Source organism: Homo sapiens, chromosome 19, assembly GCF_000001405.40.
Source record: "Homo sapiens chromosome 19, GRCh38.p14 Primary Assembly".
Lineage (NCBI taxonomy): Eukaryota > Metazoa > Chordata > Mammalia > Primates > Hominidae > Homo > Homo sapiens.
The window spans coordinates 19,459,007-19,471,840 of NC_000019.10; the positions used below are offsets into that span (position 1 = coordinate 19,459,007).

Below are 12,834 nucleotides of genomic sequence, written 5' to 3' on the forward strand. Positions count from 1 at the left end.
TGTTGCCCAGCCTGGACTCATACACCTGGGCTCAAGTGATGCTCCTGCCTTGGTCTCCTGAGTAGCTGGGACTACAGGCATGTGCCACTGTGCCTGGCTTCACACTTGTGCTTTTGATTCTCATCCTTAGCAGGTGGGGCTGTTGTTTTATCTGGTTTTCTTTTTTAATCCTTGCTTTCTTTGAATACAGGACTGATTCATAGTCACTGTTAAAGAATTCAAGCAATACAGAAATGTTTACTATAGTAAGTGAAAGTTTCTTAATAATCTACTCTTCAGAGATTACTACCACTGATTTTGGTCCAGTTCCTTTCAGTTTTGATTTTAGTGAAGTTACTTTCAGTTTTTTCCCTATATACACCTTTTTTTTTTTTTTAAACCATGTAAATGGTACTATGCTATTCTGCAACTTTTCTCCCACAGTTCTTTCCATTTTTCTTCACATAGCATTGTCTGTGAAGTAGGGATGGGAAAACTGAGGCTCAGCTCAAGCATCACTTGAGCCCAGGTGTTTTGAGTCCAGCCTGGGCAACATAGTGAGACCTTGTTCTTAAAGAAAAAAGTTTGGGTTGACTGTTTAGAATTTGAGAGTCTCTATCTAGCATGTGGCACAGAGGGTAGATAATTTAAGCTGCATGGACATCTTTGATAAACACTGTGGAAGAAGGGGCAGTGGCATCCTCTCTTGGCCCACTGAAGCTTCTGTGTCCATCTTGTGTCCTTGGTCCTGTGGTTGATTGACAGACCTCTCCCCTGGCCCATGGCCAGCCAGCGTGTGTGTGATGGAGCTGAGACCAAGTCTCTGTTCCCTGCTGTGTCTAGTTGTAGGAGCTGACTGCTTGGAACACCTTTCTGTCTCTCAAGTTAAGTTGTATCTCTCGTACTTGGCCTTAATGAAGTTTGACATTGAGAAGTCCAGAGCTGCTGTTTCCGGTGTGGCTTCCTTCCGGAATGAGTCCTAGTCACTGTTACTCAGAGATGTGCGTCAGGAAGTGGCTCGGGCCACAGTTCTGAGCAGATGGAGGTGTCTGTTCTGCATGGGAAAGAAGTATGCTTGTCAGGCAGGCTCTGCCAATGCCAAAACTTGGCCCACCTATTCTCTCCTTACCCCCTCAACAGGTCCTTCTGGGCCACAACAAGGTACCCTGGTTTGACTCTTAGGAAGTGGGAGAGCCACTGAAGGGGGTACAGATCCAGGATGTGGCTTTGGGAGCTTCCTCGGGCTATGCTGCCGGGAGGAGAGTAGACAGGGGTTCTGGGTCCAGAGGCCCATCTGTGCTGTGCATCAATCTGTGTGAAGGGCAGGGCCACAGGGGCGCTCTGGAGGTGGGCACCTGGGCGCAGGCTTGCTGCAGCTGTGTGCCTACAGGGTCCTTGTGTCTTGAGTGTTGGGCGCAGCTCACAGCTAGCGAGGCTAGCACCTGGACCCCGTTGTCATCATCTGACTCAGCACTGGTTGCTTCATGGGCCCTTCTTCCTTCCTGATAGGAAGAGGTGCCCTGAGGTGCCCTGTGCCTCCTGAGGACAGTGGCTGCCCCCAGGTTCAGGGCTCTGCTCCTCAGCATCTCCGTGGGGCTCATCGTGGGCCTCGCACTCAGCACATCCGAACTGTAGCCCAACCTTCCTTCCTCAAATCTGCTCCTCCCCATCTCAGAAAAGCCAGCCCCACTGGTCCAGTTGCTCAGGCAAAAACAAGTGAAAGAAAGCAACCCCCTCCGGAGTGCCCCAACTCCCCTCTGCTCTGTCCCCTTCCCCAGTGTAGCTGCACCATAGGAACCGCTCCCCTGCCCTGCAGTCCTCCAGCCAGGTGATCCTTTAGAGCAAGCCAGATTCCTCCCCTCCGGCCTGGGCCAGTGCTTCCCCCAGCACATGTCTCCGCTCAGGCCCTGTCTCCTTCAGGGCTGGCTTCCGGTGCCGCCCGTTCCACCCAGCCCCCGTCCCTCTGTGTGCTCTGACTGCCCCGTGCTCTGCCTCGTGTCCCCACAGCACCGTCACCAACACCCTCTGTCATTTCGCTCGTTTTCCAGCATGGGGGTGGATGGTGTTCCCTCTGTCTTGTTCACCACTGAGTCCCCAGCCCACAGTGGAGGCTCGGTGAGCTGCTGTCGGGTGAGGAGGCAGAAAGACGCCTAAAATCCACCGTTAAGAGCATCAGCCCTGCTGCTCCCGCCAGTGCTTTAACCCACTTACTGCGAAGCCTCACTTTCTTCCTGTCTGAAATAAGGGTGTTACTATGGGTATGTTAGTGATGGGTGCCACAGATGGCATTTTATGGTAGAGTTAGTATTAGCATTGTGATCTCAGGGGTTTGGTTTTATGATTTGTGTCATGTACTTAATTTCTCTTTTAATTATCAAGAGATGCGTACTGGCCTGGTGTGCCAGAAGTGTGCTGGGTGCCTTCTGTTTGTCCCCCAAGTCCTCTTTAAGAGTTCTGGTTCCTGCCACAGCATCAGTCAGCCTTTTGGAATTGTTCTAGAACATGTTTTCTGCCTGAGGCTCTCAGGCCAGTTGGATGGTGGCATTTTACGAAAATAAAGCAGCATTCCTATCTGCCCTAAAGCCCATGGAGGTGCTCCCGGTCAGAGCTGCGCTGTACCTGTGTGGGGTCTCTAGTGTGGCTGGAACCTGTCCTTTTTGGCCCCTAGTTGAGGAAGAGCTGGGCTACGCCCCCACCACCTGCCAGCCCAGTGTGTGCGGGACGTATCAGAGGAGACCGATGCCCACTCAGCCTTGCTGGTGCTGCTCATCTGTGCTGGCTTGCAGTCCGGCCTGGGGTGTTTGGAGAGAGTGAGGAGGAGGGTGAGGCTGACCTTCAACCTTGTGTCTCAGGCAGCCCTGGCAGCCTCAGTGCTCTCCTCTTTCAAATGGGCACACTGCTGTTGGGATCTGTCTGTGCAGGCAGCAGCCGGCAGAGGATCTCAGCCCCCAGGACGGGGCTACTCTCCATGCACTGGCAGCTCCCGCACAACCCTTGCCTGGAACTTCCGCCACCGGAGCTGCCTTCCCCTCACTCTCCCCTGTCACTGGGAATTTTGAAATGAATCCTCATTTGCCAGTCAGGGTGACCTAGCCTCTTCACCTACTTTTAGGAAGTGTTCTAATGTACCCCCCACTGCTCTTTGCAGGAGTCATCTGTCGCGCTTTCTTCTTCCTGACAACTTTGCTCCTGGGTCTGTGCTTGCTGTGCGGTGGCCGCCAGCCCTGTTGTGCTGGGGGCACTAGTCCCGCTTGCTTCGAGGAGGGAGGAGCCACTCCTTACTGGCACCTGCCCTCCCCAGGAGCAAGTGTCCTGTGGTGGCCGAGGATTGGCCAGTAGCAGGCCCTGCGTCATTGGTCTTGGCAGTGGAGGAGGCTCCTGCCAAAGGAGCCCCCTGCACTCGGGGGCTGGCCCCACCCCCTCCAGCTGTGCCTGTCCTTCCTGAGGTGGGGGAGGGGTGCCGCAGGGCCCCGCCCCGCAGTGGCCTGCCTCTGGGAGGCACAGGCATAGGGCAGGCGGGCGCTGTGAGGCCAGCCGTCAGTGCCGGGCCTGGGATTGGCAGAGTTCCAGGCCTTAGGCTTCATAGTGAGCTGCTGTGCACCTTGAGTACACGCCAGCCAGCCCTCTGCTGAGGACCCTGACCTGCTACCACAACAGGGGGCCCAACAAGAGAGGTCTCTGGGGCTGGAGGGAGCAGCTCTGCTGGGCACCTGAGGCCCTGCTCCATCCTGCATCTCTCAGAACCTCTGGGTAGCCTCTGGTCCTATACCAGTGAGAACGAAGTGAGGCCACACAGGCACGGCCCCCCTGATCTGGCTGTCAGTTCCACCTTGTCCATGTGGGCTGGAGCAGCTTCGAGAACTCATTCAGGGTCTTGGGTTCAAATGGGCTTCATGGAACTGAGCCCAGAGCTTACAGGGTGGGAGGCTGTGCTGGGAGGGGCCCTGCCTGGCTGGAACAGGGGCAGAGTGGGGAGCATGGGGGTTTCTTTGAGTCACAGGGAAGGGTGCTATGTCCTGGAGGTGGAGGTGCATTCTCCCTGTCCACCTGGGGACCTCATCCCCAACAGTAGTTATAAGGCCAGACTGGGAAGCTTCATCCGTAGAGTGGGGCCCTTACTTGTCCGAGGTCCTGGCCTCCCCTCATCTCTCACCTAAACAGGCTTTTCCCTGCCCTGGGCCTGGGAGTGCACATACCTGCTGTCTAAGGCAGTGCTTGAAGGAGAAATGTCCCACCCCTCCCACAGTGAGGGAAATGAGAGGAGGGGACCCACACTCTGAGGGCAGTGACTTATCTGTGGTCTCATGGGAGGCAAGACAGACAACCTGTTAGTGAGCAGTTCAGATGGGGTTTATGGGCAAGGCATGTCGGAGGAAGGAAGGACAGAGACCATAGAACTTCAGGGCTGAGAGGGACACCGTAGCATTCCTCACCTCCCCCAGAGAAGTGAGGCCATGACCTCCACATTCGACCTCTACCTGGGCTCCATTCCACGGAGGAGCTGAGGGGCAGCTGAGCAGGAGCGGGGGCGGGGGTGGACAGGGTGGCCGGGGGCAGCGGAGGCCGCACAGTTGGTGTGGGATAGGTGGTAGGTGCAGGCTGGGATGCCAGAGGGGCTGGGGACAGGTGGAGGCAAGTCTGAAAACCTGTGCCCTTGAGATTCGGAGTCTCCCTGCCTCAGCCTGGTCATGTTAAGGGTCAGCCATGGCACCTGGGTGGTGGTGAGACAGGGTAGGGAGCACAGAGCTGCTCTGGGCCTGTGTGAAGCACCAGGGATTTCCTGGCCTTGAGGAGACCCCAGTGTTTCAAGCCGGTGCCCGGGTGCCCTGGCTGGACCACACTGGCACAACACGCATGTAGACGGCCTGCTTTCCCTCTGGCTCCAGGAGCGTGAAGCAGCTGTCTCTTTCTTTCCTTTCAGTTTGAGTGCATGAGGGGGCACATTTGGGCAGGGCCTTGCGCTATTGCTCATTTGTGAAATTGGCTCCTTTAAGGAAGCTGCAGATGAGTCAGCTCTGGAGTGCGTCCCATGGATGGCGACAGGACCCCTGTGTTGCCTTGTGCTGCCCCCAGCTTCCAGACGGTCTGCCTGGCTCTACCTGGGACAGGCTTCCCCAGGGTGTTTGCCAGTGAGGAAACTAAGGCTCTGGCAAGATGAGTGCCCTGCCTGTGAGGACACAGATAGGACCAGAGGGCTTCAGCATAGAGCATGCCACAGGTGTGAATTGGGGTTCTCTGTGGGGCCCAAGTGGGCACCAACTGTCCCATGGAAAACTGTGACACTTCGGGAATTCCACTAGAGCTCAGCTGCTAAATTTCTCTTTTGTCCTCTGGTAAACACTGGGATGCTTTTTTAAGAACCTGACTCTCTCTGTCTCAATTCCTGTGCCCTGTCCTGTTGGGACGTCGAGGCCGGGATTAGAGCAGCCCCTTTAAGAGTGCCAGTGTCCCAGACCCTGCTGTGGAATGCCAGCCGCCTCCCTGCAGACAGACATCGCTGTGCTGTCGTCCTGTCTCCGTGAGGGTTAACAACACTTCAGCCTGTTGTCTGGAACCGGTTCAGACTGGTTTTCTGGAAAGTGCTTTGTCTCTCCGACTGAATCCTGGGAAGGGTCATGTGGAGCCAGTGATGTCATGGGATCAAAAACTGACTCAGCTGTTTTTTTCTTCTTTTTCTTTCTTCTTTAAATCAAGATATGTGTGTGCTGCAGGTACAGGGCAGTGGCACGTTGATGGGCCAGGCCTCACTCTACTCAAAGTGTACCTCACTGGCAACCAAAGGGTTAAATGTGATCCCCAGTCCCCACTCCCCAGAGGTGAGCAGGGAGTGAGGAGACCTCCCTTCCCTGAAGGGGAGAAGCTGGGGTTAACTCGAGTCACCACAGCATAGGGCTAGTCCCAGGCCCCGACCCTGCTCCTGGAACAGTGCAGTCACCGCCCTCCTGGATTCCAGACATTGCAGGTGCTGAAAATCCCAAAGGCAGGTAGTTGAGATCTAGAACAACTTTTCCTCTGTTTGCTGTTGAGCCTTTCCTTGCTGATAAGCAGCCACCTTCCACTGCTCCTGTTCAGCACCCTGCTGCCTCTGGCCCCCAACAGGGCAGGGTGTAGTTTGGCTCCACCAATGTTCAGCCACACAGTGGAGGCTGGGGACACCCCCCTCCTGCCTAGCCTTCCTCAAGGCAGTGATGAAATGTCCTGGGGATGCTTTTCTGGGCCCTGCGTTTGTTGTACATTCTTTTGCCATCCTTCCCATAGGGAGGAAAACACTGAAAGCAACACTGAAAAGTCTCCAAGAAGGTGGCACCTTCATTGCACCCAGTTAAAATGTTGTGTCTTCTCCTCCCTCCCAAGTTCAGAATGACCGAAGAAGCATGCCGAACACGGAGTCAGAAACGAGCGCTTGAACGGGACCCAACAGAGGACGATGTGGAGAGCAAGAAAATAAAAATGGAGAGAGGATTGTTGGCTTCAGATTTAAACACTGACGGAGACATGAGGGTGACACCTGAGCCGGGAGCAGGTCCAACCCAAGGATTGCTGAGGGCAACAGAGGCCACGGCCATGGCCATGGGCAGAGGCGAAGGGCTGGTGGGCGATGGGCCCGTGGACATGCGCACCTCACACAGGTGAGTGGGAGGAGCCAGCGGGAGGGGCTGGAACCTGGAGACAAGCCCAGTGTGCCCAGGTTGGGGCTGGCCACACTCCAGGCCTGTTGGTAACAGCTTGGCGGGGTTGTGGAGAGGGCTGTAGGCTCAGCTCGGGCATCACCCACCACTGGCAGCTGTGCTGTTGTGGCCATTCCAGGGCCCCAGGTCCCAACTGCAAGTGGCACAGAGTGTGGGTCTCACAGGAGAAGGAGTGGCACATTCCATCAGCTCCCCTGCCATCAGTAGGCCTTTGCCACCCACGCACCTGCTGTCTGTCCAACTCGGTGCTTTTGGTTTGTAGGGACACTTGAGTTATTCATTTGGTTATGCTTCCCTGCTTTTCAGATCTAGAGGTCAGAGGGCCAGGAATGCTACACCTACCTTGGTCACTTGGCTAGGGATAGAGTTGGGAGCCCAGCCCAGGGCACCCTCCTCGGAGCGGGTACGGGATGCTCACTCGACTCCATGTTCACTTGGTGCTGGTCTTTGGCTTGCTCTGTTGGTTTGTCCTTAGTCAACACTGATTACTTCAAGAGTGACTTTCCTCATATTCACCTTTTATGAGTCTCTTAAGGTAAAAGCTTGAAATAAAAATAAGACCCAATCTACCACCTATTTCTTGACTTCAAAACCTTCCTTTCTCTCTGTAAAGACAAATTCAGACCCAGCACCTGCTCTTGCATCACCCCTCCCCTTGGAGCTCTCCAGAATGTTCATGCCCAGACACCCACTGAGGGCTGTGGTGTGGCCACAGCTTCCCGGCTGGCCCTCTGACAAACTCCTCTGTGGCCCGTTGCTCTCTCTCCTCACCGCCCACTGGAGTCTTCTCCCTGTGGAGGGCCTGTCTCTCCACGCCTGTTCATAAGGGACAGCTGGTGGCTCCTCACCTTCCCGTGTCAGCTAACCCCACAGGATGACCCCAGCCTGCAGTCTTATGTCAAATTCGTTTTTGGAACCCAAACTGTTGGGATCCTGAGGACTTCAGAGATCATCTGGTGTTCACAGCGTTTAAAATGGGAAGATAAATGGGAAAACCCAAGCCTGCTCCTGTTGACAAAGCCTCCTAGTCTGAGGAAATATACTTTGTAGTCCTGCTGTCCAAAGAGGGCTTTTCTGTCTGACTCTGCTGTCTGCAGTCCCCATTCTAAAACCAAGGTCCTCTTCTAAAGTTCCAGAAATAAAACTATAGGTCCAAGTCTCCTTTTCCTTTCTCTATGTTTTCAGCCAGAGACCAGTCCATGACAGCTCAGCAGGGGTGAGCAGTGAGGGGCTGGTGTGGAGTCAGGGCAGGAAGAGGAGGAGTCCATGTTCATGGGAATCTGCAGTCCATGTGCATGGGGTCCCTTGTGCATTCCTGGGTTGCTGACATGCATTTTCTCCTGTAATCACCATGTTCCCCTGCAGGGTAGGTCAGTGGATTGTGAGGGAGAAGTTAAGTGTTAAAGAAACTCAGAGTTCAGCTGGGCGCGGTGACTCACGCCTGTAATCCCAGCACTTTAGGGGGCCGAGGCGGGTGGATCACAAGGTCAGGAGATTGAGACCATCCTGGCTAACACGGTGAAACCCCATCTCTACTAAAAATACAAAAAAATTAGCTGGGTGTGGTGGCGGGTGCCTGTAGTCCCAGTGACTTGGGAGGCTGAGGCAGGAGAATGGTGTGAACCTGGGAGGCGGAGCTTGCAATGAGCCGAGATCGCGCCACTGTACTTCAGCCTGGGGAAAGAGTGAGACTCTGTCTCAAAAAACAAAAAAATATTGCTAGCACCTCTGAAGCCCCCTCATGCTTGCTTGCTGCCACTGTCTTCCAAGGGTAATCACTTTCTTGACAATATGGATTAGTTTTTCCTGCTTTGGTACTTTAAATAAGTGGGATTATATACTATGTACCTTTTATCTTCCTGCTTTCACTCAGCATTGTGAGATTTACCCATATTGTTGTGCATACCAGTAGTTAATCCATTTTCATTGCTGTATAGTATTTTGTTTATAGAGTTTCTATTTGGGTATTTTTCAAAACTACCTTTTTTTCTTTCATGCTAACTTATTACCATCTTATGACCGAATCTGGGCATATTGAAAGCTAGAGGCAGTTTCTGATGGCTTCTAGGAGAGAGAATTTCCTTTTTCTTTAGTGGCTGGTGAATTGGAATCATCAAGAAATATATATGTTTGCATGTGTGTGTATAGTGTACATATTGCTATGTTGGATGATTTGGAGCATGCAGAGGCAGATACAGTAGTAGAATCAGCTTTCTGCCTCCATCTTTTACTCCGCTCCCTGTCGCTCTTTAACTCAGCAGTTTTTCTCTCTCAGTCTCCCAACTTGTGTGAGTGTTTTATATTCTACATAAATTGAGGGTGGAGGGCAACTTCTGGTTGTGTTGAATGAGGAGATTGGCAGAATTGACAAAAGCAAAATGAAACAATCTCAGCATTCTGGAAAAATTGAGCAGGGGCATACAACAATCTGAGAAGTATTTATGCCTGTAACTGCTGAATTTCAGGTGAGAACAGTGAGACTGTATGGCATTTGGCCTGGAGCTATTCCTATGCCCTCTCCCATCTGTTTGGTAAAGAGGTTCTGTCCAGCCACTGTCAGCTTTGAGGACCAACAGCTTCGCTGTGTGGGTGAAAAGGAGGACTGTTCATTTTAGAGTGGTAGCAACCCTGCCTGTGGTCTTGTAGATGAGAGTGACAGTCTTGGAGATGGGCAAGTGGGGAGACACAGCGGCTCTGTTTTAGCCCAAGGTTGGGGCAAGATAGAAAAACTATTTGAAGAAATAATGGGCAAAAACATACTTGAGGAGAAACTCATCCAGGAATCCCAACAAACCCTAAATAGCATAAGTACAAAGAGATCTTGACCTAGATACATCATAGTCAAACTGTAGAAAGCCAAAGAAAAGAAGAAAATCTTGAAAGTAGCAAAAGAAAAACAACTCAGCACATCTGGGGAGCATTAATAAGATGAACAGCTGACTTCTGACTCGAGACAATGGAAACAAAAAGGAGTTGAATGATGTTAAAAGTATCCAAAGAAGAAAACTGCCAACCCAGAATTCTATACCAGTAAAAACAGTCCTTCAAAAATGAAAGCAAAAAAGACATTGTCAGGTAAACAAGACTGAAGGAATCCATTGCTGGTAGACCTGCCAGTTCTTCAGCCTGAAAATAAATGACACGTTGGCAGCTTGAGTCTATGAGAAGAAATAAAGAACACTGGAAATGGTAAATGCATGGGTTAACTGGAAAGACTTAACTAGTTCTGCAGTCTGGAAGCCAACCAAAGGCTTTGAATGATTTGTTGGGTTTATAATATCCACAGATAAAATATATGTCATATTAGTACAAAAGATGGGGAATTAAATGGAGCAATATTGGAGCAAAATTTCTGTATCTTACTGGAATCAAGTTAGCATCAGTCTTATATAGATTGTGATTAAGATGCTTACTGTAATGCCTAGAGCAGCTCTGAACAAAATAACTTTAAAATATAGTTTTTTAAAAAAATCAGGGCTGGGCACAGTGGCTGACTCCTGTAATTCCAGCACTTTGGGAGGCTGAGGCAGGTGGATCACAAGGTCAGGAGACCAAGACCATCCTGGCTAACGCAGTGAAACCCCGTCTCTACTAAAAATACAAAAAAATTAGCCTGGCATGGTGGTGGGCACCTGTAGTCCCAGCTACTTGGGAGGCTGAGGCAGGAAAATGGTGTGAACCTGGGAGGCGGAGCTTGCAGTGAGCCAAGATCGCGCCACTGCACTCCAACCTGGATGAAAGAACGAGACTCCATCTCAAAAAAAAAGAAAAAAAGATCATCAGAATTAAAGTTATACACTAAAAAATATTTAACACGAAAGAAGGCAGTTTCTTTATTCACTGAGAAATAAAGGAACAAACAAGAGGACATGTAGAAAACAAAATGGCAAATGTCAATCCAGCCATGTCAATAATGCAGTAACTGTGAAGGATCTAAATACCTCAATCAAAAGGCAAGGACTATCAGATAGTGTAAAGAAGCAAGATTCAGGCTGGGCGCAGTGGCTCACGCCTGTAATGCCAGCACTTTGGGAGGCCAAAGTGGGCGGATCACAAGGTCAGGAGTTTGATAGCAGCCCCTGGCCAATATGGTGAAACCCCGTCTCTACTAAAAATACAAAAATTAGCCAGGCGTGGTGGCACGCACCTATAGTCCCAGCTACTTGGGAGGCTGAGGCAGGAGAATCACTTGAATCCGTGAAGCGGAGGTTGCAGTAAGCTGAGATGGTGCCACTGCACTCCAGCCTGGGTGACAGAGCTCCGTCTGTCTCAGAAAAAAAAAAAAAGAAGCAAGATTCAGCTTAATTATATGTTGTTTATAAGTGACGCCCCTTAGATTCAAGGAATAATACAAAAGGATGGAAAAAGAGGTACCATAAGTAACCGCTTGAGAGCTGGAGTAACTGTATTAATAAGAGATAAAAGACACTTTAAGACCAAAAAATTACTAGAGCCAAACTGCGACTTTATTTTTTTTTTTGTTTTTTTTTTTTTGAGACAGAGTCTCACTCTGTCACCCAGGCTGGAGTGCAGTGGCACGATCTCCACCTCGTGGGTTTCAGTGATTCTCCTGCCTCAGCCTCTTGAGTAGCTGAGACTACAGGTGCCCGCCACCACGCCCAGCTAATTTTTTGTATTTTTAGTAGAGGCAGGGTTTCACCATGTTGGCCAGGCTGATCTTGAACTCCTGACCTCGTGATCCGCCCGCCTCACCCTCCCAAATTGCTGGGATTACAGGCGTGAGCCACTGTGCCCAGCTGCGACATTTCATATGATATTTCAGGAAGACATAACAGTCAGCAGAGCCCCCAAATACCTGAAAACATAAACTTGATAGGATTGATGGAAATTAATCAGTTATAGTTAGAGATTTCAATATCCCACTCTCAATAATTGGTAGAACATCTAGACAAAATTGGCAAGGTATGGAGGACTTGAAGAACATTATTAACTCACTTAGCCTGACATCTGTAGAATACCTGGTGAATGCAGAATACATCCTCCCAATTGTAGGTGAACGTTCTCTGTTGATCATACATTGGACCATAAAACAAGGCTCCAGTATAGCTGTAAAAAACAAAAAAAAAAGGAAGTAACAAGTGTTGAGGAGGAAGTGTAGAAACTGGAATTCCTCATACATTGCTGGTAGGAATGTAAAATAGCCCAGATAGTTTCTTACAGAGTTAGTTGTAAACTTACCGTATGACTTAGCAATTTATCCAAGAGAAATGAAAATGTGTCCACACAGACAGGTACACCTGCAGCAGCATGATTCATACTGGTCGAAAAGTAGAAGCAGGGCCAGGCACAGTGGCTCACGCCTGTAATCCCAGCACATTGGGAGGCCGAGGCAGGCGGATCACCTGAGGTCAAGAGTTTGAGACCAGCCTGGCCAACATGGTGAAACCCCGTCTCCACTAAAAATACAGAAATTTGCCTGGTGTGGTGGCGTGCACCTGTAGTCCCAGCTACGTGGGAGGCTGAGGAGGGAGAATTGTTTGAACCTGGGAGGCAGAGGTTACAGTGAGCCGAGATCGTGCCGCTGTACTCCAGCCTGGTGACAGAACAAGACTGTCTCAAAAAAAAAAAAAAAAAAAGTGGAAGCAACCCAGTGTCCCATGGATAAAACAAACCTGCTACCTCTATATACCAGATTACTGTTCAGCTTTATAAACTACTCATGTGTGCCATAACATGGCTGAATCTCAGACTTGCCACGCTAAGGAGGATACAGCAGATGCAGGGACTACTTGTTGTATAGTTTCACTTACAGGGCATGTCCCCCCAAAAAGCAAATTTATTTGAGAGATGGAAAGTGACCAGTGGTTGACTAGGACAGGGCTGGGGGTGGGTGGGAGCAGTGATTAACAACACATGGGCACGTTTTGGGAAGATGGAAATATTTTAAAATTGTATCGTGGTGATGATTGCACAAATTTACTGAAATCATTGAATGGTACTCTTACGGTGGCTGAATTTTGCGGTATGTAAAGTATACCTCAATATGGATGTTAAAAATAAATAATTAAATGAAGGTTAAAATAGTTTGGTTTCTGTTGTGGCATCCATAAATGTGCACACAGAAAAACAAAACCCGCAGAGGTAGAAGTTGTGAGTCTGTTGGTTTTGTGAGGCCAATCCAAAGGTCGTGGGCATGTGCTGCCCC

At 50.5% G+C, this 12,834-nt stretch overlaps 1 protein-coding gene across 47 annotated transcripts in view, besides 6 other annotated features; it reads left to right on the forward strand.

Moving 5' to 3' along the window:
- The window catches only part of GATAD2A (GATA zinc finger domain containing 2A), a 123,090-nt gene that overhangs the window by 73,164 nt on the left and 37,092 nt on the right, over positions 1 to 12,834 (forward strand). For 28 of the 47 annotated variants that reach the window (NR_169268.1, NM_001384514.1, NM_001384512.1 and 25 more), the window contains one exon: positions 6,334 to 6,608. Coding sequence is in view for 42 of the 47 variants with exons in the window: in NM_001384514.1 (NP_001371443.1) it covers positions 6,340 to 6,608 (269 nt within the window). In the remaining 5 variants the exon portion in view is untranslated. Of the gene's footprint in view, positions 1 to 190; positions 5,796 to 5,921; positions 5,942 to 6,333; positions 6,609 to 12,834 lie in introns of those variants that run through there. The other 19 variants (NM_001384523.1, NM_001384522.1, NM_001384511.1 and 16 more) reach the window with 3 other exon arrangements.
- Positions 834 to 1,128: an enhancer, noted in NCBI's record as "tiled region #5941; HepG2 Activating non-DNase unmatched - State 19:H4K20, and K562 Activating non-DNase unmatched - State 14:Gen5'". NCBI's record gives its function as "activates a minimal TATA promoter and a strong SV40 promoter by Sharpr-MPRA in HepG2 and K562 cells {active_cell/tissue: HepG2 | K562}" and the evidence as "EXISTENCE:reporter gene assay evidence [ECO:0000049][PMID:27701403]".
- Positions 834 to 1,244: a biological region, named in NCBI's record as "Sharpr-MPRA regulatory region 5941".
- Positions 1,025 to 1,244: an enhancer, noted in NCBI's record as "active region_14355". NCBI's record gives its function as "activates an Ori minimal core promoter by ATAC-STARR-seq in GM12878 lymphoblastoid cells {active_cell/tissue: GM12878}" and the evidence as "EXISTENCE:reporter gene assay evidence [ECO:0000049][PMID:35858748]".
- Positions 1,555 to 1,674: an enhancer, noted in NCBI's record as "active region_14356". NCBI's record gives its function as "activates an Ori minimal core promoter by ATAC-STARR-seq in GM12878 lymphoblastoid cells {active_cell/tissue: GM12878}" and the evidence as "EXISTENCE:reporter gene assay evidence [ECO:0000049][PMID:35858748]".
- Positions 2,005 to 2,144: an enhancer, noted in NCBI's record as "active region_14357". NCBI's record gives its function as "activates an Ori minimal core promoter by ATAC-STARR-seq in GM12878 lymphoblastoid cells {active_cell/tissue: GM12878}" and the evidence as "EXISTENCE:reporter gene assay evidence [ECO:0000049][PMID:35858748]".
- Positions 3,268 to 4,049: an enhancer, noted in NCBI's record as "H3K27ac-H3K4me1 hESC enhancer chr19:19573083-19573864 (GRCh37/hg19 assembly coordinates)". NCBI's record gives its function as "activates a minimal SCP1, AML or CMV promoter by ChIP-STARR-seq in naive and primed H9 embryonic stem cells {active_cell/tissue: H9 hESC(naive and primed)}" and the evidence as "EXISTENCE:reporter gene assay evidence [ECO:0000049][PMID:30033119]".